The sequence below is a fragment of the Homo sapiens genome, chromosome 7, assembly GCF_000001405.40.
Source record: "Homo sapiens chromosome 7, GRCh38.p14 Primary Assembly".
In the NCBI taxonomy this organism is placed as follows: Eukaryota; Metazoa; Chordata; class Mammalia; order Primates; family Hominidae; genus Homo; species Homo sapiens.
Window position 1 is genome coordinate 2018714 of NC_000007.14, and position 25619 is coordinate 2044332.

The 25619-nt window shown below is 49.4% G+C and overlaps 1 protein-coding gene across 5 annotated transcripts in view, besides 5 other annotated features; it reads right to left on the minus strand.

Annotated features, from left to right (window-relative positions):
• MAD1L1 (mitotic arrest deficient 1 like 1) overlaps positions 1-25619 on the minus strand; it is a 417151-nt gene that overhangs the window by 202919 nt on the left and 188613 nt on the right. The gene's annotated exons all lie outside the window — the stretch shown is intronic.
• Positions 899-948: a silencer, noted in NCBI's record as "silent region_17862". NCBI's record gives its function as "represses an Ori minimal core promoter by ATAC-STARR-seq in GM12878 lymphoblastoid cells {active_cell/tissue: GM12878}" and the evidence as "EXISTENCE:reporter gene assay evidence [ECO:0000049][PMID:35858748]".
• Positions 1089-1238: an enhancer, noted in NCBI's record as "active region_25504". NCBI's record gives its function as "activates an Ori minimal core promoter by ATAC-STARR-seq in GM12878 lymphoblastoid cells {active_cell/tissue: GM12878}" and the evidence as "EXISTENCE:reporter gene assay evidence [ECO:0000049][PMID:35858748]".
• Positions 1280-2099: an enhancer, noted in NCBI's record as "H3K27ac-H3K4me1 hESC enhancer chr7:2059628-2060447 (GRCh37/hg19 assembly coordinates)". NCBI's record gives its function as "activates a minimal SCP1, AML or CMV promoter by ChIP-STARR-seq in primed H9 embryonic stem cells {active_cell/tissue: H9 hESC(primed)}" and the evidence as "EXISTENCE:reporter gene assay evidence [ECO:0000049][PMID:30033119]".
• Positions 12699-13380: an enhancer, noted in NCBI's record as "H3K27ac-H3K4me1 hESC enhancer chr7:2071047-2071728 (GRCh37/hg19 assembly coordinates)". NCBI's record gives its function as "activates a minimal SCP1, AML or CMV promoter by ChIP-STARR-seq in naive H9 embryonic stem cells {active_cell/tissue: H9 hESC(naive)}" and the evidence as "EXISTENCE:reporter gene assay evidence [ECO:0000049][PMID:30033119]".
• Positions 14063-14742: an enhancer, noted in NCBI's record as "H3K27ac-H3K4me1 hESC enhancer chr7:2072411-2073090 (GRCh37/hg19 assembly coordinates)". NCBI's record gives its function as "activates a minimal SCP1, AML or CMV promoter by ChIP-STARR-seq in naive H9 embryonic stem cells {active_cell/tissue: H9 hESC(naive)}" and the evidence as "EXISTENCE:reporter gene assay evidence [ECO:0000049][PMID:30033119]".

The following is a 25619-nucleotide window of genomic DNA, read 5'->3' on the forward strand; positions in this document are numbered from 1 at the left end:
CCCTCCAATGAAGCAGCAGCCCCTCACCCATCTTCCTCCCTCACCCAGCCTCCGCCACCCACTCCCGCCCGGCCTCTGCCACCAGTGCTGTGGAGCCTGCCTCCCTCCCTCCGCCCCCTCCAGCCCAAGGCCGAGGCCCACTCTGCAAGGGCTCCAAGGCTGTTCTGCACATGCGACATTCTCTGCAGGGCCTCTTCCCAAGCCCATCCCACCTCAGCTCAGCCACCTCCACCCAACTCTGAGTCACTCCACAACTTCTCCTTTTTTTAGAAAAGGAAATGTATGGTCATAAATAGCTGAAAAGCCCTGTTCTAATTACCTCTCCCGACGCATGGAGCCACCACAAGAAACTGAATAGATTCAGGCGGGAACGTGGGGCTGCAGACACGGCTCTGCCCACTGACGCCGGCACCATCTCCTCGCTGCCACCCGCCTCCCCAGAGTCCTCTGCCCACTCTTTCCCCAGACCCCCAGTCACCAGCCTGGACAGGTCTGCTGTGACCCCAGCAGCAAGATCGCCCCAGACAGGAGAAGGCCCTGCTGGGACAGAGGCTGGGAGAGGCAGGAGGCCTCTCTCTGGAACCCTCATCCCAGCTGGTCGTTTCCCAAATGAGCAGGACTCTGGCATCCGTGGGGCCCATCGAGAACATGATGACAGGCGAAAGCGGCAGTAATAAGCGCCTCGGAGGACCCACGCGGGTCAGACAGTCCTGCGCTCCAATCTGACACAGACCAGCTGTGCACCCTTGGGCAAGGGACCTAACGTCTCTGAACCCACCCTCCTTGTGCAAAACGGGGGCACGAATGCCCCAAAGAGTGCTTAAAAGGTGCACCAGGATTAATAAGTACATGGAGACAGCACCCGTCAATGGAAAGGGCAGCAAGGAGGGCCACTTACGGCCACAGGGGTTGGGGGTGGGGGTCGGGCTGCCCGGCCCAGCCCCAGCCACCCCCCACACAAGGCCACGCCTCGCCACCCTCCACCCACGCAAGGCCACGCCTCACCACCCCCAACGCAAGGCCACGCCTCGCCACGCCACAGTGCTGAGTGCACATGAGGCGGCGTCCCTGTGCTCGGCCCACGCCTGCTCCTGGGCCGGATGCCCTGGCCCCCACAACCAACTACAGAACGCTTCGCCTCCTGTCTGTCCCTCGCTTCTCTTTCCTGGGCCTGCTGCCCCTAAACGAGGTTTTTTTTTTTGACAACTGACTGTTTTCAAGTATGATTCACTCAGGCAGATTTTAATTGGTGACATCAGCACAGCATGCTAATGCTACATATGACTTAAGCACACGTTACCTCATTTGATCTTCAGAACCGCCAGGCAGGCACAGGGCTGAGGGAAGAGGACTCAGCAGCTGCGAGCTGTTGTGGCTGCCCTGTCGCTCAGACCACGGAGGGGCAGAGCCCCGGCTGGTGCTGCAAACAGAGGAGCCGCCCAGGCTGCGGCCCTACAGTCCCGGGGTCAGCGCCCAGCCCGGGGAGGCAGTGCCATGGACAGCCTCACTGGTGAGACCACTGGAAGTGGCTCTCCATGATCGGGGGGGGCACTAACCCCCGCTCTGGGCTGCCGGAAGGAGGAACTCACGAGGCCCGAGATTGCTATCCACAGCCCCAGCGTGACCCCAGCATTCCCATCAAGGCGTGCACCCGGCCCCGGCACCATGCGGCCCCCACCCTTGCCTTCCTGCGGCTCTGACCCTGCAGTTCCCAGCAGCCTTCAGAGGACGGAACGCCATGGGCACACGGCAGCTGTGAGACCGAGCCGCAGGGGGACGCCCGGCCCTGACATCATGGGAACAAGCTAGAGCAGAACACCATGAGGACCCCGCCTCTGTGAGAGCAAAGCCAGCTCCCTGGGTCCTCTCTCACCTGCCCGGGCTGCCCTGGTACCCGGAGTCTAGGGGCCTCCTGGGAGGGAGGCTGACCCGGTGGCTGTGGGCAGAGACGAAGGAAAACATCGGACGGACTTCAGGCACTAGTTAAAAACACACACAAGACAGGAGAAACTTCATCTGAGACGACAGCGGCCTAAGCAAAAAGAATACTTTTTTTTTTTTTTAAGACAAGGTCTTGCTCTGTCGTCTAGGCTACGGTGCAGTGGCACAATCTCAAGAATGAATAACTTAGAAGAAAATGTATTAATTTAATGGTTAGAGTAGAAAGGCTAAAACTGAAAGTAGCAAGCTAACTAACCAACATAAAAAATGAAAAAAAACAAAACAACATATGCAGAAAGTATAGGAATAAAAATAAAGATGAGAGCATAAATGAGCAAATGTAAAAACAGGTCCACAGAAACTTCCCGTACTAAAATGCACTGAGGAAAAAGCAATGAAAACAAAAGAAGAGGCGACCTAAGAACAGTGGGATGACCGTGAAGGTGGAACCTACTCATGACAGGAAAACCAGAAGGAGAAGGAGGCGAGGAGCGAACACAGTAAGTATCTGCCGTGATAATGGCCGAGATTTGTCAAATCTAAACCCCAGATCCAGGAAGCTCAGAGAACATCAAGCAGGAAAAATACCAAAAACTCCACACTTAGCCATATCATATTCAACTGTGGAAAATAAGACAGCCTGAGAAGGGAGAGCCCTTCATTATCAACCAAGAGAGTGAGAAATGCATCAGACCTCCTGACCGAAGCCACTCAGGCAGCAGAGAGGGGAGGGAGGTATCCAAGTACTGAAACAAAACAGCACCAGCCTGGAATTCTGCATCCAGCAAGATGATCTTCTGTAAGAAAAGCAGAAAGAAAAACTCTCAGCGGGGCACACTGGCTCACACTTGTAATCTCAGCACTTTGGGGAGCCAAGGCAGGCAGATGGTCTGGTGTCAGAGGAGTTTGAGACCATCCTGGACAATGCGGCGAAACCTCGTCTCTACTGAAAGTAGAAAAGTTAGCTGGGCATGGTAATAGGCGCCTGTAATCCCAGCTACTCGGGAGGCTGAGGCAGGAGAATCGCTTGAACCCAGGAAGTGGAGGCTATAGTGAGCCAAGATCGCACCACTGCACTCCAGCCTGGGCAACAGAGTGAGACTCTGTCTCAAACAAACAAACAAACAAAAAACACTCTCTTAGACAAACGAAAACTGGGGGAGATTGGTCATTGGCAGCCCTGGCCCCTGTAAGCAGTGTGAGGTGGATTCTCCAGAGAATCCCATGAGAGGTCAGAAACTCAGATCTATGTGGAAAGACAGAGCAGAGAAGTAACAAATAAGGAAAAATAAAATCTACTTTATTCATCTGTTTTTTTCGAGACAGAGTCTCACTCTGTTGCCCAGGCTGGAGTGCAGTGGTGTGATCATAGCTCACTGCAACCTCTACCTCTGGGGCTCAAGTGATCCTCCCACCTCAGCCTCCCAAGTCGCTGGGACTGCAGCTGTGAGCCGCTGAGCCTAGCTTACTTTCCTTAGTCTCGTTCATCTAATGGACGATTGTTTGAAGTATAGGAGCAGCAATGTGTGGGGTGACGATGGTGCAGGGATGGGTGAAATGAAGCAGCAGGTGGCACGGGAGGCAAGGGGAATGGGCGTGTTCTGCGGGAGGCGCCCACCCTGCCTGTGACCTGGTCAAAGGCCATCTGACCATGGGCTTAGATTCATGCTAAATGTATGCTGCAAACTCTAGGATAATTCTGTGCTTGGCTCATGCCTGTAATCCCAGCACTTTGGGAGGCTGAGGCAGGTGGATCACCCGAGGTCAGGAGTTCAAGACCAGCCTGGCCAACATGGCGAAACCCTGTCTCTACTAAAAATACAAAAATTAGCCGGGCATGGTGGCAAGATCACGCCACTGTACCCCAGCCTGGGCGACAAGAGCAAAACTCTGTCTCCAAAAGAAAAAAAAAATTCTGTGCTAACAGAATTAAAAAATTAAATCATATAACATGCTCAGTTAAAACCAAACAAAGCAGATAAAGAAAAGAAGATTTAAAAAAAACAAAGAACAAGTGTCCCAATAGAAAAGAGTAACAAACATGGCAGGTATTAACAGTATCAACGATCATTTCGAATGTGAATGATCTAAACACACCAATTAAAAGACGGTCAGGATGGATTAAAAAAACAAGACCCAATTATATGCTGTTTATAAGGAACCCACTTAAAATATAAACACACTTTGAAAGGAAAGGAAGAAAGCTAGACCACACTAAGCCCAAATAAAAGAACGGTGGAGCAGCTTGATCAATCTCAGGCAGAACAAGGAAACGATCAGGAATGAAAAATGGCACTCCATTCCGATAAAAAGGTCATTTCTCCAAGAAGACATGACCGCCCTTAACATGCATCTACTTAACAACAGTGTCTCAAAATATGCGAGGAAAACCTGAAAGAACTACAAGGAGAAATGGCTCAATTCACTGTTACAGTTGGAGGCTTCAACACCCTCTTATCAGAAACGGACAGATCCCGCAGGCAGAAAATCAGTGAGGACACAGCAGAATTCAATAGCCCCATCAATCAACTGGGTCTAAATGACAATGACAGAACACTGCATCAACAGCAGAATATATATTCCTCTCAAACTCATATGGAAAATTTACCTAGACAGACCACATTTGGGCCATAAAACACACCTAAAGAAATTAAAAAGAATATAAAGTATATAAAGTAAGCTCTCAGACCACACTAAAATTAAACTGGAAATCAGTAACAGAAAGATAACTGAAAAATCCCAAGATATTTGGAGACTAAACAATCCACTTGTAAATAACGCATGGGTCAAAGAAGTCTCAAGAGAAGTTTAAGAATAGTTTGAACAAGAAAATGAAAATACAACCTATCAAAATTGTAGGATGAAACAAAAGCCATGCTTAGAGGAAAATTTATAGCATTGAATGTAAATGTTAGAAAAAAAGAAGGATCTAAAATCAATCAACTAAGCTTCCCATTAGGAAACTAAAAAAAGAAGAACAATGTAAGCCTAAAGCAAGAAATAATAAAAATTGGCCAGGTACAGTGGCTCACGCCTGTTATCCCAGCACTTTGGGAGGCCAAGGTGGGTGGATCACCTGAGGTTGGGAGTTCAAGACCAGCCTGGCCAACATGGTGAAACCCCATCTCTACTAAAAATACAAAAATTAGCCAGGCGTGGTGGCAGGTACCTGTAATCCCAGCTACTTGGAAGACCGAGGCAGGAGAATCGCTTGAACCTGGGAGGCGGAAGTTGCAGTGAGCCGAGATCACGCCACTGCACTTCAGCCTGGGAGACAGAGCAAGACTCCATCTCAAAAAAATAAATAAATAAAAATAAAATAAAACAAAATAAATAATAAAAATTACAATAAAAAACAGTGAAGCTGAAAACAGGAACTCCATAGAGAAAAACCAACAAAACCAAAAGCTGGTTCCTTAAAATTCATAAATCTGTAGCCAGGTTAACCAACATTAAAAAAAAAAAATAAAAAAAAGGAAGACACAAATTACTAACATCAGAAGTGAAAGAGGAGCCATCACTACTAATCCTATAGGCATCTAAAGGGTAATAAAGAAACATTATGAGCAACTCTACGCCCAGAAATTTGATAACTTAGATGAAATGGACCAATTCCTTGAAAGACACGAACCACCAAAACTCACATGAGGAGGAAGAGATCACATGAATCGGTCTTTCTAGTGGCCTGCCCACCCCCAGCTCCCTTTCTCTTTCCTGACTGAGACACACAGAGGGCCTTCACCACCATGTGAGCCAGGCAGCTGCATACTTCCCCTGTGGGCTTGAGCATTCCATTACTGCCTGAAACAGAAAGATCAGCATGTTGCTGTCACATAGAAATTGGCGGTGAGCCAATTTCCTTCAACTCCCATAGAAACTCCACAATGAGACCCCTCCCTGTAGACATACTCAGGTCTTGCTGTGGTCACAAGGAAGCTGCTGCCCCCTCTGTAGGCAAGTTCCCCTAATAAACGCTTCAAATGATCACTCAGGGTTTAGTGCTTCTCTCTTTGGAATCCCAGCCAGCCCCATCTCAGGCGGGTTTGTGGCTATCCCTTGTGGGCACTTCCTACAGTCACTTTGGCGACGACCCCAGCCCTGGGTTCAGCCAGAAAAAAAACAGGCTGTATCTATGAAAGAAATTAAGTTGATCACTAATAACCTCCCAAAAAGGAAAGCACCAGACCTAGATGGCTTCACTGATGAATTCTACCAACTACTTCAGTGAGAAATGATACCAATTCTCCAAAATCTCTTCCAGAGAATAGAAGCAAACTATTCTGTATGACACTGTAATGAGGGAAACATGATATTATGAACTTATCAAAATCCATAGAAAGACACCACACAAAGAGTAAACTTTAATGTAAACTATGGGCTTTGGTTAAAAATAATGTGTCAGTACTGGTTCATGAACTGTAACAAATATACCACAGTAATGTAAGACTTTAGTAACAGACAAAACTGTGCTGTGGAAAGAATCATATGAGAGCTCTATGCTGTCTTCTTAGTTTTTCTGTAAACCTTAAACTCTCCCGAAAACAAACTTTATTAATTAAAAAATTATAGATCTAGAGGAACATTTCAACAACACTTCTCCTGCCAAAAAGAGAACAATCAAAAGAGCTAGGGAAGAGGAGAGGAAGACAGATTAACTTAAAAGAAGCAACAGTGAGACTGACAGCTTGTTTCCGAGCAGAACCAATGGGAGTCAAAAGACAGTGGAATGATAGGTTCAAAGGGTTGTAGGCTGGTGGATAGGACAGGCATTGATAACCTATGATTTTATACCCAGCAAAACTGTTCTTCAAAAATAAAAGTGAATTAAATATGTTCCGGACCCCAAGAAAATTAGATAATTCCTCAGCATTAAATCTGTATCAAAGGAAACAAGGGGTATTTTGCAGACAGAAGAAAAACGATTGCAGATGGATGCTCAGAGATACAGGTTGCAACACAGGGGAATAAAAAGGGTTAGAAATGTGTACATATAAATGAATATACAAAAACAGTATCTTTTCAAACACGTAAGTGTATGAATAAAGTACTTTATAGCAATAGCCTACGAATGGAGCAAAATGTAAACAGAAGAAAGGATTTTAAGACCCTTGGATTGTCTAGAAGGAAAAGAAGTATTAATTTTATTAGACTTTGTTAAGTATATAATAATAGTCTATCTTATAATCACCAACATAGCCACTAAAATTACATAAAAGCACACATAACAAGATAACGATCATAAAAAAATTTATTCTACGATTAAGATGTTTTCATAAAAAACGAATAAAAACTAAAGGCAACTATTAAGATGGTTAATTTCAATGCAAATGTATCATTAATTACATCAGTTACAATTAGATTAAATATTTCGACTAAGAAATGATTTTTACGCTGAATATAAATACTTATATATTTATAGTATACTACATTTATAATGAAACAATTTAACAATGCTCAAAATGAAAAGTGAAAAAGTAAAAGGTGCCAATGCTATTAAACACTGGAAGCTGACATACCCGTATTAATATCCCAGAAAGGAGATTTAAAAATCAAAACAATCCGCAGAGATAAAGAATGTCTCATAATAACAAAAGGCAAAATTCACCAGGAAGATAATTCACAATTTATATGTGCCTAATAAAACAGCATCCAAAGACATACTGCAATAATTGACAAAATTAAAAGAAGAAATAGACAAAACTCACAATCATAATGGGAAATTTCAACACAACTCTTGCAGGAGCTGAGAAAAAACATCATTAAAGAAATGTGAAGAATAAGATTAACAAATGATATGTAGCTATTTACAAAACACTGCACTCAACAATTGCAGAATACATACTATTTTCAAGTGTGTATGGGCCATTTACAAAACTGACTTCCGATGGGGCCATAGAGCATTTCTTGGTAAGTTTTATGGGACTGGGGTCATTCAGAGGATAGTCTCTGAGCACAGGGAGATAATGCTAGAAATCAATAAGAAGATACCTGAAAATCACCAGATGTTGGGAATTTGAGAAATTTGTTTCTGAATAGCCCATTGGTCAAAATAAAAATCACAATGGAAATTGATAAATGACTTGAGCCCAATGATAAGGAAAATACAACACATCAAAACGTACGGTATGCAACTAAATTGACAACCTTAAATGCATATACTGTAACACAAGAAAGGATAAATATCAATTATCTACATATACAACTCAAAAGTTAGAATAACATCAAATTAGACTCAAAGAAAGTAACAAATTAATGAAATAAAATACATATGGGAAAAAATCAATAAAGCCAAAAGATGGTTCCTCCAAATGACTAATAAAATTGATAAACTCTTGATGAGACAGATTACAAAGAATAAGCAAATAACAATATTGAAAAAGACATAACTAGAGATCACAAAAATATTAAAAACATGACAATAAACAACTTTACACAAATGAATTTTAAAGTTTTGATAAAATGAAGTTTTAAAAGTTAAAAACTAACTTTTACCACAACTGAATAAAGAAAAAAAAAGAAAATCTGATGTTTCAAAGCTATTAAAATAAATCAAGCCCAAATTTAAAATCTTGTAAACAAGAAACCCCTAGGCCCAGATGCTTTCACTGGTACACTCCACCAAGCGGTTAAAGAAGAAATATCACCAACCTTATAAAACGATTACAGAAAACAACAGAAGACAACTTGCTAATATTTTCTAAGGCCAGAAAAGCCATAACATCACAACCTGAAAACGACATTCTGAGAAATGAAAAGTAATGACCTTTCTCCCCAATAAATGCAGATGCAAAATCCCTAATTAACGTACTGGCAAACCAAATAAAGCATTACACACAGAGCATAACCCATAGGCCATGCTCATTTATTCCTGGAATGTAAGTTTGGTTTAACATTTGAAAATCAATTAATTTAATGCGCATTAACAAAATATAGAAGAAAATCAAATGATCATCTCAATATTTGCAGAAAAGGCATTTGATTAAAATTCAACATCTATTCACGATAAAAACTATGAAACAAAACAAAAGCAAAACCCTCTTGGCAAATGAGGAATAGGGAGAACTTTAATCTGAAAAGGATTTCCTTACTAAAGTCGTCAGCACGATCTTTAACAGTGAAATGTTGAAAGCTTTTCTTCTGATGATGCAAAACAAACACCAGCTATCAGCATGTCTGTCCAAAGCAGCACTGGCTATGCTAAGCCACAGATAAGAAGAGGCATGAAAGGTACGAAGATCAAGAAGACAATGAAAGCTATTATTAAATCACTCAATTATGAACATAGAAAAGTCAATATAATCTACAAATAAATTATTAAAATAAGTAGATTTAGCAATGCTGCAGGACCAAAGTTAATAATCAAAGTCCAATTAGATTTCTACATTATTATTCAAAGCACAAACATTATTATTCAAAACAACAAAACCCATGATATGTCCACCCAGAAAACATTATGAAACAATTTCGAGAGAAAATAAGTATGACCTAAGGCCGGGCGCGGTGACTCACGCCTGTAATCCCAGCACTTTGGGAGGCCGAGGCAGGCGGATTACGAGGTCAGGAGATCGAGACCATCCTGGCTAACACGGCGAAACCCCGTCTCCACTAAAAATACAAAAAATTAGCCGGGCGTGGTGGTGGGCGCCTGTAGTCCCAGCTACTCGGGAGGCTGAGGCAAGAGAATGGCGCGAACCCAGGAGGCAGAGCTTGCAGTGAGCCGAGATCATGCCATTGCACTCCAGCCTGGGCGACAGAGCAAGACTCCATCTCAAAAAAAAAAAAAAAAAAAAGTATGACCTAAACACATGTTAGCATATAGTACGTCCATGGATTAGAAGATTCAATATTGTGCAGATGTCATTTAATCAATGCATTCTCAATAAAAACTCTAGCAAGTCCACTGGTGAGACTGACAGGTTGAGCTGTAAAATCTACGTGAAGAGGCGGATGGCCAGGTAGAGCCAGGGCAGCCCTGATGCAGACAAGCAGAGAGGGCCACCCTATCAGGTAACGAGACTCTAACATTCTCAGGAATTGAAACTTGTGGTTTTGCCAAAAAGAGATGAACACACCAACGAAACAATACAGATTCCAGAAACAGCCAATACAGACAGAGCCACCTCACGTGAAGGTGTAACCAGCACTGTGGCACAGGCGGAAGGAGCAGCTTTGCAGTAAGGAGTGCTGAGTCCACTGGATACCCACGTTGACAAGAAAAATGAAAAAAAAAATAAGGCTTCACACAGTGCAACAAGGCTGCGCAGGGCAACAAGGCTGCGCAGTGCCACGGTCAGTGTGAAGAAGCAAAGCCACCAAGAAGACAGGAGTGAAACCCTGGAACAACCTGGAGGGTGGCGAAGCTTTCTTAAACAGGACACACACAAATCACAACCACAAAGGGAGGTAAAGATTGATAAATTAGATTTCATTCAAATTAAGAATTTCTGTTTAGAGTGTGAAAAGCTGCTACAGAATGAGAGGAGACATTTGAAATACAAATACCTAACAAAAGATGATATAATCTCCCATTCTGTAGTGTTAGTCACAGTAGCCAAGAAATAAAGAAATTCAAACGCCCATTCACAGAAAATTTTAAAAATTATGACGTGATATACCCATAAGATAGAAATGAAATAACACAGCAACAGAAACCAAACACGAAAGATTACACGCTGCATGGCTCCATTTCACAACATTTTTAAATGGGCAGAACTGGCGTGTGAGAATCGGGAAGGCAGGGCTTTGGGGGAGGTGGAGGAGCCGGCAGGTGAACTTGGGAGCCCTGGTGACACCGTGTTCCCGACCGTGGAGCTGAGACATGGATGGACTGATTTCATCATAGCCCTCTAAGATGTACTCTCAGGACAAAGCACTTTCTGTATGTCTGTTATGCTCTAATAAAAAGATTAAAAGGCAGTAATTTTTTTTTTTAAACGGAACTCCATAATTTGAAGAGCTTGGCTGTGGTTGTAAGTCCCATTTACAAACAGCTCAGGGCAAACACACTCAGATGGAACCGTGAGCCCAACTCGGACTCCAGAGGCCTGGAGGCCTAACTTTCTGGCAGTGGGAGAGCAAGGGCGGTGGGAGTTGGTGGCAGGCGCAGGGCACTCTGCATGACACACCCAGGGCAGCAGAAGAGGAGGAGCCCAGCAAGTTTCTAGGCAAGAGAGTGATTGATAGAGGGTAATTTGAGGTTGATGTGCGAGTTATGATTACAATGAAATGAGAGAGGGGAAAAGCTTCAGATGGAGCTGAAGAGAAGTAAAAATCCAAGGAACAGAAACAAGATCATCCCTAGCGCCCAGACACGAGTGCCAGGAGAAAGGTCTCTGGAAAGGGCAGATGCTGGCTGTCCCCTCCTACACAGTCCTGTGGACACCGGGCTCACCACATTCAGGGAGCAGATGGAAATCGAGTCTTTGGCCCAAGCTGCTCCCCGTGTAATCCTAGCCTCATTTCTGCAGGGCACCCCTGGCTGGCAGAGAGTGCCCCAGAAACGCGGAACCCAGAGCTGTGTACAGGTGCATGTCCGCTACGCCCCGCCCCGCGCTCCACGGAAGGTCCACACACAGCCTGAGGAGGTTCCCCCAGCCCACAGTGACGCCCGGGGTGGAGGTCACAAAGTTTTCAGAGTCATCCAAACTCATTACCTTGCTAACTGGGTAAAAAGTCCAGTTCAATGGATGGTGACTGAATTAGAGGGCGATTGTAACAGAATGCAATTCTACTATTAATAATTTCCGTATAGCAGCTCGAACAAAGCACTGACAAAGTGTCACCAAATGCATTTCTTGCTTCACTTCTTTCATGAACAGATAAGGCTAATTCACTTGCTTACGCTAATTAGAGCCTGTTACACGCGGGCCCCTGAACAGCCTTGATGTGCAGAGGCCCCTGGGTAAGCCAGGGCGCCAGTGACAGGTGGCCGGACCCCGCAGGAGTGGAACCTGCCCATCTGCGCTTGACGAAAATGCCTCCAAAACAAACCAGACGCCGCCCCGGCAGAGGAAACTGAGAATGAGGAGAAACGGTCTCTTTTCCCGATGAAAGGGTTCTCTGTAATGGGCACCAATGACCAGGTTTTGAAGGGCAATACTGTGGGTCAGCGAGGGTTTCCGGGGCCCCGTGGGAGGCGCCCTGCTGTCAGACGCGTTTCTGTCCTCCTCAGCCCCCAACCTGCGCCTGGTGCTCTCGGCCAACCTTGCTCAGAGCTTGATGATACCATGTCTCTCCCTTGTTCCCATTCCATCCTCTCTGTTCTTCCTCATTTTTGCCTCAAGTTCCACAAGTCTCATTACAAGGTTATCTTATCTGACCAATAAACCCGGTTTACTGTTGACAAAGCTCTATTTCTGCTGGGCGACTGGATTCGGAGGAGCCCCCAGGAGAAAAAACGGTCCCCAGCCTTCAGCAGCATCCTCCCTCCAGCAGCCAGCTGTGCATTCTCCATGAACTGCACCTACGCGAGCTCTCCTGAAGGCAGCAGGAGGCTGAACACCAGGCCGCTCAGAGAGGAAGCACGGGGTCCTCTCCCACTACTCACCCCTCTGCCTGCAGCTGCACCAGGCACACAGAGCACGCTCCCTTCCCTGCCCCACAGCTGTCTTGGGGTTACCCTCAGCCAGCTCCTCCTCTGGCTTCCTGCCGTCACACCCTCCCCACTGGCCTCCACCACCCACGTGTAGCTGTGGGGGAGGGGGAAAAGGGGCTGTTCTGGGCTCCCCACCAGCAAGCCTGGTTTTTACAATTTCAACCTCTGATAAAAAGCTCTACAACACCTATTGTAGGAAGGAGTGGAATCAATTATGATTTCCCGAGGCAATTTTACTTACATTTCACACTGCTCTATGACAAATTCCACTTCATTTGTGTTCGCTGTATAAATGCATTCCCCAGCATCCACCTGAACCAGCACCAGCCTTGTTACAGCAGCTGCTCACACCTGCGCTATGACGACGTGGGTGCCGTGCACATCTGGGAGGGCACTGGGACCATCCTGACAGGAAGCCATACCCAAGCCACAGTGGCTGCAGACGGCCCCTCACCAGGGAGGAGGACGTGACCCTCGCAAGGTCTCGCCAGCATGCCTGACCCACGCGGATATGGGGCCATGGGCCTGAGACAGGCCCTGTGCCGCATGGCTCTATTTTGAGTGCAGTTTATTTGACAGGACAGGGAGAAAGGAGAGCAGGGCAACGTGGGAAACAGACAGCACAGTGGAGTCACGGCTCTGGGGCCACTACTCAGCCTGAGCAGTCAGACGGGTTCCTTTCCTCTCTAGGCCTCCAGCGTTCCTATCAGCAAAACAGGGAATTAGATGGACTTGGTCTTCTACAGTTCAAAAATCTTACAGTGCTGCAAAGTCTAGGTGGCTTTCTCCACCGACGGGTAACAGGCAGGCAGCCAGTGCCCAGGGTGCCAGGCACACTCCGGGCCTTGTGCCAAGGAGTTTCCATGCATCAGCTCCCTGACCCCTCATTCATGCGGGACGCCCGGCCCCAGTCCCTGTCCAGTGCCTGGAACAGAACAGGTGCTCAGGAACTGTGTGTTCAATTAAAAAATGAACGAGTGAAACCATCAGCCAATCAGTCCTCGGAACCACCTCCTGAGGCAGGCTGGAGTCCTCCCTTTCAGATGAGGACAAGGCTCCAGGGGAAGGCGCGCGCCCCAGGTCTCCAGCCTCCGTGAAGCCGAGCCTGGGCTCTTGGCCATCATGCTAACGGGCAGGTGGGAAAGCGCTTGCCCAGCCCTGGGCTCTAATAGCTACCTAAAGCCCCCGGGCAGCAGTGACCCCACGAGTCCTGAAAAGATTTGGTGCACATCCATGGCCAGGGGCAGGCCATTACCCAAACAGCTCTGACATCAGGGTCCTTCCTCAACTGAAAGCTCATCTCAGCTGGGGAGAGCTGGCCTTGCCTTCGTCTCCTTCAGAGCTGTGCTGGGCTGAGTGGGGCCAGAAATCAGCATGAGGAGAATTCAAAACAAGATGACTCGCCCATGGGAAGTACCTCCCACCAGGCTCGAGGGACCCTGTGCTGCTTCTGGCATTTTGAATTCGCGCCCAGGGCTGTGGGCTCCCACCAGGGTCAGGCCAGCTCCTAGCAAGTGGTGAGGGGGGTGGCGCCGGCCTGCTCTCCCAGAACTCAGCCTGGAGAGGGAGGCAGACGTGAGCACTGTAAGAACAGGCGAGGACAGGCAGGGCACTCAGGGAGCCCCACACCAGGAAGGAAGACCCACTCTGCACACAGGGAGAGTGTGCATGGGGCAGGGGGGCAAGGCGCCCCCGCAGAAGGACGTGGAGAGGGCACCAGCTGAGAAGATGCCCCCAGCCCACTGGTATCACGTGTCTACTGCCTTCTTGGGGTACAGCAGCGTGGGCTGAGGACACCCAGCTGACGCTGCCACTGACTGGCCATGATAAACAGACGCAGAACTCCGAGAGCTCACGCTCCCAGCCCAGCACCCCACTCATACACTCGCCAGCCAGGCACCACGTGCCAGGCCCTGTGCTGGCCAGGAGGTGGGCCCTTCGATCATCCCATTCTCACAGAGACAGCCCGGGTGCTGCAGGTGTGAGTAACGCACCCCGGGGGCACAGAACACCTGGGTGCGGAGCCCCAGTTTGAACCAGCCCAGATGACCCGGTCACCCCTGCCCTCGCCTGCTTCACTGCACTAGAACTAAAGGAAACAAGATGGATACTCCATGGAGCAAGGCCCTGAAAGGCTGTGGGCCCCGAAGCAGTGGAAGGAATGACAGAGAAAGACCAGCACGCTTCGCCACACCAACACCTCCGTGGGTCCCAAAACGCCACTTAAAAACACAAAAGGTAAAAGACAAACTGGGGAAAACGTGCCACAAATACATGAAAACCTTTTACAAATCAATAGGAAAATCACTAACACGGTAATAGAAAACTGGGAAAAATCAACAATCAACAGAAGAAACGTAACTGACAAACACAAAATTCATTAAGACCCGTTCCTCACCTGGAGTGGCAAGAAGTAAAATGCTAACACTCAGCACGAGTGAGGCCATGAGGGCTGCACGCTACACCTGCTGGGACAGCAGTCACGGGCGCTTCTGGAAAACGAGTCAGCAAAACTGGCCAAGGGTCCTGAAGGTGTTCACACCCTTCCACTCAGTAACAATTGCCTAAAAAGTAATCAGACTGCGGTGGCTCACACCTGCAATCCCAGCACTGTGAGAGGCCGAGGCAGGAGAATCACCTGAGACCAGCCTGGGCAACATAGTGAGACCCCATCTCTACAAAAAAAATTTTTTTTTAATTAGCCAGGCGGGGCGGCATGCACCTATAGTCCCAGCTACTGGGGAGGCTCAGGCAGGAGGATATATTGAGCCCTGGAGTTCAAGACTGCAGTGAGCCAAGATGGCGCCACCACATTGCAGCCTGGGCGACAGAGCAAGACCCTGTGTCTAAACAAATAAATAAATAACAAATGAATCAGATATGGGGAAAGCACTGAGTCCAAGGATGTTGCACACATTAGCAATAATCATGAAAAAATTAAAAACAAAGCTAAATTTCCAATAAAGAGTCTCCTTTTTTTTTTTTTTGGAGACGGAGTCTCGCTGTCGCCCAGGCTGGAGTGCAATGGTGTGATCTAGGCTCACAGCAACCTTTGTCTCCCGGGTTCAAGCGATTCTCCTGCCTCAGCCTCCTGAGTAGGTGGGACTACAGGCACACACCACCACGCCCAGCTAATTTTTTGTATTTTAGTAGAGACGGGGTTTCACCGTGTTGCCCAGGCTGGTCCGAACTCCTGAGCTCAGGCAATCCACCCGTCTCAGCCTCCCAAAGTGCTAGGATTACAGGCATGAGCCACCGCAGCCGGCCAAGAGTTTACTTTTGGTATGTCTACACGAAGAAACATCGTACAGCCAAAAAAGATTTTATTTTCAAGGAATGCTTAATGGCACAGGCACTGGCTGCAATAAAATGTCACAAGTGCAGGAAGCACACAAGGCTGCCAGCTCTGCCACAGCAGTCCCCACACTCGGCTGCCTCCATGGCACCTGCGCACGTGGGTGTCCGTGAGTGCTTACTGGTTGGCTGATAGATTGGCTGAATGAATGAACAGGGGAGGAAAGGAGAGAAGGGAGACGTGGAGATGAAATGCATGCCATGTTCTTGGTGCTACCTCTGGGTGCAGGAGTCAAGGTCTTTTTCAATGGCCTCTTTATACTTTTTGATCAGTCCCCAAGCTTTGCACATGTCCAGTGTCACAGTCAAAGAGGGCTGCATGTTTTAAGAGTCCAGTGGTCAGAGCACTCACACCCATGTACTCCGCAGACCCAAACCTGAGGCCCAGCAGCACAGGGGGCCACAAGTCCACACTGGGGCTGGCCCCACAGAGGCGGGAGCTCAGGGAGGGACACAAACTCCACAGGGAAGCCAACAACAGATGCCTCATTTCTGAATAAAGAAATGCCAGACACGATGTGGGAGAAAAGGAAACCAGGCAGCCCAGAGGGGCCACATGACCCCACAGACAACCCCAGGGACACGCAGACCACACACAGCCCAAGGACACGCTGAGAAATGTAAACCGGAGTCCAGGCTCCCAGGCATGAGCGCGGGAGCGCTGACAAGTCGGGACAGAGCTGGGGTCCAGGCTCCCAGGCATGAGCGCAGGAGCACTGACAAGTCGGGACAGAGCTGGGGTCCAGGCTCCCAGGCATGAGCGCGGGAGCACTGACAAGTCGGGACAGAGCTGGGGTCCAGGCTCCCAGGCATGAGCGCGGGAGCACTGACAAGTCGGGACAGAGCTGGGGTCCAGGCTCCCAGGCATGAGCGCGGGAGCACTGACAAGTCGGGACAGAGCTGGGGTCCAGGCTCCCAGGCATGAGCGCGGGAGCACTGACAAGTCGGGACAGAGCTGGGGTCCAGGCTCCCAGGCATGAGCGCGGGAGCACTGACAAGTCGGGACAGAGCTGGGGTCCAGGCTCCCAGGCATGAGCGCGGGAGCACTGACAAGTGGGGACAGAGCTGGGGTCCAGGCTCCCAGGCATGAGCGCGGGAGCACTGACAAGTCGGGACAGAGCTGGGGTCCAGGCTCCCAGGCATGAGCGCGGGAGCACTGACAAGTCGGGACAGAGCTGGGGTCCAGGCTCCCAGGCATGAGCGCGGGAGCACTGACAAGTCGGGACAGAGCTGGGGTCCAGGCTCCCAGGCATGAGCGCGGGAGCACTGACAAGTCGGGACAGAGCTGGGGTCCAGGCTCCCAGGCATGAGCGCGGGAGCACTGACAAGTCGGGACAGAGCTGGGGTCCAGGCTCCCAGGCATGAGCGCGGGAGCACTGACAAGTCGGGACAGAGCTGGGGTCCAGGCTCCCAGGCATGAGCGCGGGAGCACTGACAAGTCGGGACAGAGCTGGGGTCCAGGCTCCCAGGCATGAGCGCGGGAGCACTGACAAGTTGGGACAGAGCTGGGGTCCAGGCTCCCAGGCATGAGCGCGGGAGCACTGACAAGTGGGGACAGAGCTGGGGTCCAGGCTCCCAGGCATGAGCGCGGGAGCACTGACAAGTCGGGACAGAGCTGGGGTCCAGGCTCCCAGGCATGAGCGCGGGAGCACTGACAAGTCGGGACAGAGCTGGGGTCCAGGCTCCCAGGCATGAGCGCGGGAGCACTGACAAGTCGGGACAGAGCTGGGGTCCAGGCTCCCAGGCATGAGCGCAGGAGCGCTGACAAGTCAGGACAGGGGAGGACGATGCATTCCTGCGCCACCTCCGTGCGGGGAACCAGAGCTCCAGCCTGAATCCCTTAGGGTTGGCTCAGAGTCCTCTCTGGATGAAGTGTCTAGTCTGAGGAGGACAATCCATCCGGTCGTGAGTTTGGACTCTTCCTACACACAAAGGCCAATATATCAAAATTAAATCCCACGGAAGCCCAGGTTGTCACTGGAGAGCATTCCCCAAGCTCCAGGCAGTGGTAAATCAGAGGCCTGAATCCACTGTGGGCCCTCTTTTGAACAGAAGACAAAAGGAAGAGCTTACCCCTAAAGGCAACCCAGCAACCCAGACGTGTGCCTGTCCCACCTCCCCAAGGCCAGGGCTCCTGATCAGAGGTGCTGTAAAGACTCAACAGCCCTGGCAGTACAGGGAGCCCAAGCAGGTGTCGGAAATGACACTGGGTACCTAGAATCCTAAGAACTAAGCTGTCTACAGATGCAGACCAACCAGGTGGGAGGTGGTCAGCTAGATCCCACCAACGCCACTCATACCCACCAACGCGCACGAGGCACGCTCCGCCTCCTGAACACTCCTCCCAGGGCTCCTCCAGCACTCCTCCCACAGCTCCCCCCACAGCACGAGCTTCCGCGTGCCCACCCACGCGCAGAAGACCTCCACCTGCCGCATGCTCCTCCCACAGCTCCCCCCACAGCATGAGCTTCCACGCGCCCACGAAGGTGTCCAGCCATGCAGCAAACGTGGATCAGGCCCAGGTACACATCAGATCTCACCGGTTCCAGTGCCTTCTGCCACGTGGAAATTTCGGCTCCTTCTTTGTCTTCTTAATAGACTCTTCTTTTTTTTTTTTTTTTTTAGAACGGGTTTAGATTTAGAAGAATGGAGAAGATGGTAGAGACTTTTCACATATTCCACACCCAGGTGCCCCACTGTTAACATCTTACACGAGCACAGTGTGCTGGCCACAATAAGGAGCCAGCATGGACCCAGGCACGCCTTGCTCTCCTGGACTACACAGATACTGTGCTTCTTACAAATGGAAGGCTTGTGGCCGTCCTGCCTTCGGCGAGGCACCATGTTCCCAACAGCATGTGCTCCCTACACGGCTCTGTCACATCTGGTAATCCTCATGGCGTTTCAGACATTGTATCACTATTATATCTGTTGTGGTCTGTAATGGGTGGTCTCTGATCTTACTACTGTCATTGATTCTGGGGCGCCACGTCCTGACTGTACTTCCGACATTGCATCACTGTTATGTCTGTTGTGGTCTGTGATCGGCGGTCTCCGATCTTACTGCTGTCATTGATTCTGGGACGCCACACACTATGCTCCTCAGACGGCAAAAGCTTCACCGACCAACGCTGCTTGTGTCTGGCTGCTTCACTGACCAGCCATCTCCCTCCCTCCCTCTCCTTGGGCCTCTCTATTCCCTGGGCGACACAACAGTATTAAAATCAGGCCAATTAATAACCCTACAACAGCCTCTAAGCATTCAAGAGAAAGGAAGAGTCGCATGTCTCTCCTTTAAACCAAAAGCTAGAAAGGATTAAGCTTAGTGAGGAAGGCGTGCCAAAAGCAAAGATAAGCCGAAAGCCAGGCCTCTCGTGCCAAACAGCTCGCCAAGTTGTGAATGCAAAGGGAAAGTTCTTGGAGGAAATTAAAAGTGCTGCTCCACTGAACACACCAACGATAAGAAAGTGAAACTGTCTTATTGCTGATACGGAGAAGTCTGAGTGGTCTGGATAGATCAAACCAGCCCCAACATTCCCTTAAGTCAGAGCAAGTTCCACGAGGCTGAGAGAGGTGGGAAAGCTGCAGAATTCAAGTCTGAAGCTAGCAGAGGTGGGTTCATGAGGTTTACATTAAGAGGCAGTCCCCATCACATAAAAGTACAAGGTGAAGCCGCAAGTGCTGACGGAGAAGCTGCAGCAAGTTCTCCAGAAGATCCAGCTAAGAGCACCAATGAAGGTGGCCACACTAAACACCAGATTTGCAGTGCACATAAAACAGCCTTCTGCTGGAAGATGCCGTCTAGGGCTTTTACAGTTACAGAGGAGAAGTCGATCCCTGCCTTCAAAGTTTCAGAGGACAAGCTGATGCTGTTAGGAGATAATGAAGCTGATGACTTTTTTTTTTTTTTTTTTTTTTTTTTTTGAGACACAGTCTCACTCATTCTGTCACCCAGGCTGGAGCACGGTGGCACAATCTTGGCTCACTGCAACCTCCGCCTTCTGGGTTCAAGCAATTCTCCTGCCTCAGCCTCCCAAGTAGCCGGGATTACAAGTGTGTGCCACCACGCCTCACTAATTTTTTGTATTTTTAGTAGAGACAGGGTTTCACCATGCTGGCCAGGATGGTCTCGAACTCCTGCTGACCTCAAGTGATCCGCCCACCTCGACCTCTCAAAGTGCTGGGATTCCATGCATCAGCTACTGTGCCTGATCTAAGCTTTTTATTTTGATCCAATTACAGATTCACTTGGAGCTATAAAAAATAATACAGAGATCACAAGTAGCATTCATCCAGTTCCTCCCAATAGCAACATCTGGCACAACTACAGCACAGTATCACAACCCGTATGCCGACAATGATACAGTCAAGATACAGCACATTTCATCACCACAAAAACCCCTCGGGTTGTCCGTTCACAGCCACGATTCCTCCTGTGCGTCTCCGTAACTCACGGCAGCCATCCACAGGCTGTCTATCACTTCAGCCTTTTAATAACGTCATGCAAATGGGATCATGCAGCACACGACCTTCAGGGACTGGGCTCTTCGCTCCGCTAAACTCCCTGGAGATCTATTCAAGTATGTTTATCCACAGTGAATTCCTTCTTAGTCCTGAGTATTACTCTGTGTGACGGAGGCACTACCGTTGTTTAACCATCACCACCGAAGGACATCAGAATTCTTTCCAGTTTTTGGCCATTATGCAAAAGCTGCTAGGAAGAGTCCTCTGTCGGGTTTTGTCCGAACCTCGGTTTTATTTCACTGGAATCGACACCCAGGAATGCGACTGCTGGTCATATGGGAGCTGCAGTGCAGTTTTTAAGAAACCCTCGAGCTGGTTCCAGGGTGGCTGCACCCTGTCACTCTCCCATCAGCAAGGCACCAGAGATGGAGTTTCTCTACACACTGACTGGCATCTGATGGTGTCCGTTTCTGAACTTTGACAGGTGTGCAGTGACACCTCACTGTGGTTTTAACTTGCATTTCCCTCATGACTAATGATGTTGAACATCTTTCCACGGGCTTAACTGTCATCTGTATATGTTATTTGGTAAAAAGGTCTGTCTATATCTTTTGCTTGTTTGCTAATTAGGTGTGTCTGTTTTGTTTTTCTATTACTGAGTTTTGAGAGTTTTCTCATCTATTACAGATAACAAATCGTCTTTGTCAGATATGAAGCTTGCAAATAGTTCCTCTTTATCTCTACCTTGTCTTTTCATCTCTTCACAGGAACTTTCACGGGGCAAAAATTTTAATCTTGATGGAGTCCAACTTCAGTTGACCCAAGCAGAAGGAACGAAATAATAAATATTAGAGCAAAAATAAGTGAAATAAAGAACACAAAAACAATAAAAGAAATCGGTCAAGCCTAAAGTTGGTTCTGTGAGAATAGCAACAGAATTGACAGAAACTTTTAGCTGGGCCAACCAAGGAAACAAGAAAGAGGGTGCAGATCACTGCAGTTGGGAGTGAAAGAGACACTAGCTGACCTTCCAGAGATAAAGGCTGTAAAGGAATACTACGAACAGCTGCATGCCGAAAATTAATAACGGAGGTGAAATGAACAAACTCCTGAAAAGACAAAAGCTACCAAAACTGACTCAAGAGAAACACAGACAACCTGAGTAGACCCACAGAACAGCAAAGACACTGGATTAGTTTTGAAGACGCTGCCTGCTGCCTCTGCGGCTCCATCTCAGCTCCTCCGGACCCTCCCAGATCCCCACAACTGGAATGCTGGATCTTGTGTTGTGGCCCCACCGGCACCGGGGACTTTGTTCCTTTTATTCCATCGTATTCCCAGGTCTCATCGGTGTCGGGAACTTTGCTCATTTTATTCCATCGTATTCTCTCTGCTGTTCAGAATGGGCAGATGGGCAGTTCCTATCGGTCCATCTCTGAGTTCACGAACGCGCTCCTGTCGCCTCCATTCTGCTGCTGACCTTATATCCATTAAGTTTTTCTTTCCATTATTGCTAGGCATTAACTACATTTTCTGTCTTCCCAGCTGCTATTTACCTAGTCCTTTGCTGGGGAGCGTCGGCATTTTGGGGATGTGCTTCCTTAGCTCCAAGTCTGGGATGAAAGAGGCAGACGAGGAAACCTGGGCAGCTCCCCGCCAGGCTGTTCCGAGGCCCAAGGCCCCTGGCCTCCATCCCGCAGAGGCTCACTATGCTCATTCCATAGATAATGTCCAGGACTCTTCATTATACTTAACAGAAGGATCAAAGAAAATGCGTCAACTCCATCTTCCTGCAAACAGAGGTGTTGGCTGCTCTTTGGAATCGCTCATTCAGCCAATGCTGATTTAAACCTTCTACGTGATGTGTGCCGTCATAGGGGCTGCCCTGAGAAGCCTGGCTTCACAATCACGTGTGTCTCTCACTGTTGGCTGCTGAGAACCACAGAAGAGCTCTCAGCACACAAGGGCTCCATCCTACCCCCTGCACTGAGACACCGCCCACCACAGCAGGACTTCCTGAAGCCTGAGCTACAGCACCCCCAGAGTTCCTGTCGGAAAAAGCTCAAGGCTGTCAGGAGGATTTGCCCTTGGTTCTACCACACCTGACAACAGGCCCCTGCCCTGCCTCCCCTTCCTAGCACAGTTACTTCAGAAAATCCGAGCTGACAACTGTGAATCCTTCCTCAGTCCCTTGGAGACACACATGCCCGCACCTCCTACAGCTCTGGGATGTCCTTCTCAAGGACCGAGAGCCAACCCTTTGGAACGTAATCATCAGGAAAACAGGCCTGTCTCCTAGTCTGGGGCTGGGGAAGGGGAGCAGGAGCCCATCCCTGCCAGCCCCAACCTGCCAGCTCGTAGCAGAGTCAGCTCATCACATTCATGCTACCCAACCCTCTTGCTGCTTTCTGTAATTTTTCACTTCCCTGACTCCATTTGGGCACCTGTTCCCCACACTCCCTTTAAAATGCCCAGTCACATCTGCACAAACCTGAAAGGAGCTCAGCTCTGTCCCCTGCTGTCAGCAGCGACTGAATAAAATCTGTTTTCTCCACTTTAACTTACATCCAGCTGCATATACCTTTGACATGGGTCACGACTGACGCTTGACATGAGTTGAATGAAACCAGATGAGGAAGAGCTTTGAAGGCATACCATCAGGTGTCAGGTCACTAACCCTCTCTTTGCCCGAGAGGAGTAGAAAACTCCACAAGACAGTCTCACTTCCACGCTGCAAAAATGTCAACTCTCACCATGGCAGCCCACAGGGGGGAGGGATACTGAACACAAAACTCACTCAGGTGCCTGCTTTGGCCTGGCCACGCTGCACCCAGCTCCCCGCAGCACCTCCTGCTCTGTTCCAGAGAGGCGAGCAGAGCCTGCATCCTACCCAGCCAAGGCCAGAGAGAACTAGCTCCCTGGGAAAGCAGCAAGGGACCATCCAAGAAAGACTTAGACACACACACGCACACGGACATGCACACAGACACACAGATGCACGTACACACATATGTACACACACATCCACACACGCACATGTGCACACACACACGCAGACACACATGCACACGGACATGCAGACATGCACACACATATGTACACACATACACATGCACACACACACGCACATGGACACAGACACGCACACAGACGTGCACACACAAGCGCATGCGCACACGTACACAGACACACATACGCACATGCACACACACGCGCACATGGACACAGACACACGCAGATGTGCACAGACACACAGGCACACGGACACACGCACAGACACACACATGGGCACACAGGCACAAGGGCATGCACACGGCATTCCTAACTGCCACCACCGACCTTTTCACACTCCAGCCACCCCAGAACCCTGGCGTTTAGAATCTGCAGCTAAAATACACCCAATGATGGTATCAACGTTCATTTATTCATTCAACAAATACTTGGCGATATGGTTTGGATGTCTGCTCCCTCCAAATCTCAGGTTGAAAAATGTTTCCCAAAGGTGGAGGTGGGGCCTGGTGGGAGGTGTTGGATTATGAGGGCGGATCCCTCACGAATGGCCCAGAGCCATCCCGAGTGAGGAGTGTTGTTGGAAAGATTCTGGAACCTCAAGTGTCTCTCTTGCTCCTGCTCTTGCCATGTGACGTGCCTGCTCCTTGCCTTCTGCCATGATCAGAAGCTTCCTGGTACCTCAGCAGAAGCAGATGCCGGCGCTGTGCTTCCTGTACAGTCCGCAGAATGACCCAGCCTCAGGGATTCCTTTATAGAGACACAAGAACGGACTAATACACCTGAGGAGCCTTCACGCACACACATGTCCACGTCCACGTCCACGTCCACATCCACGTCCACGTCCACATCAAGGCAGTGCTGCTGAGGGCCAGAGGACGCTGCCACAGGCCGACCCCGTGAAGCTGAAAGTCACCTTCGCCAAGAAGGATGGGCTTCTGGAAAACACAGCCCTGCACTTAGAAACTTCAGACCCTACTCTCCACAATCTCTTTATTTATAAAATTGCTTATGCGAAGATATTTCCACGCAGAATGCATTCAATTATGCAGTGTAAGGGGGGGCCTGAATGGAGAACATCCAAGTCAGCCACGAAGACACTTCAGGAAATACAAGAAAACGACCCTGCCACTGACTTTCGAATGTGTCTGCATCCACGCCCCTGTCCCATCGGAGGGGCACAGGGTAATACATAGCACTGCGCTCCCCTCCTTCTCCTGTGGTTCCCCTCCTGACAGCGCAGTGCAGTGCGGCAGACACCCCTCATCCTCGGTGTCAGGGCAGCATTAGCATGTAAATAGCTGGCAGACACAAGGACGTGAAAGCAAGGAAGAGCTCTTTAATTAACTTTAATCCTCCAAAAATCCATGCTGCAATCTGTTCTGACAATCCCACGCTCCTTAGGAGGCCCTCGGCACGACCTGGCACATCCTGTGGGCTGGAGGTGGCCGGAATGGGCGGGCTTGGGAACGTGATGCCCGGGTACCGTGCCTACAAGGACGCTGGGTCATGACTGTTCTCTGGAGGCTACGGGTGCCCTGCAGAGTGGAGGCACGCGGAGGGCCTGGGGGGGCTGGGGATCCAGACTGGCTGAGCGCCTGTTTCCCACCACAAACAGCCCTGCGGAGTGCCAGCCTTTTTCTCGAGAGTGGGGGCAGCACCACCCCAGGCCTCCTGCCAGGCCCCAGGGAGCCCTGAGGCAGGGGCCTCTGCCCATTCTCTCCTCCCAACACCCCGCACTGCCCAACATAGACATAAGCTGGGCCCAGGGCTACTGAACAGGGCCAGGGAGGGCCGGGCAAAGCCTGCCCCTGGAACGTGGCAGACCTCACCGTGCAGGAACAGGGTGTGGGTGGCGGCCGCGGGCTCGGACGTGACTCAAGCACAGATGGGTGCCCGTCCCGTCAAGAGAGCACACGCAATGGACGGCGGCAGCAATGCTCCAGCAACCACAGCAAAGGCCTGATGGAGAGAGGAGGGGAGACAGCAGCATGGGAGGACGAGCTGCCTAGAGCTGGCGGCCACAATGCGCCGCAGGAAGGGGAGCAGCCAACGGTCTGGAATAAAAATCATAGCGAATGCTCACAGGACAGAGGCAGCTACTACAGGTCCTGATCCAAGGGTCACTCTTGCTCATTCCTCCCAACTTGTTCAGTCCGCCAACAACACTGTGAGGACACGCTGGGACAATCTCCGCTCTCTCCAGCAACGAAACTGAGACACAGACGAATGACTTCGGCTGGGTTCCACACAGCCA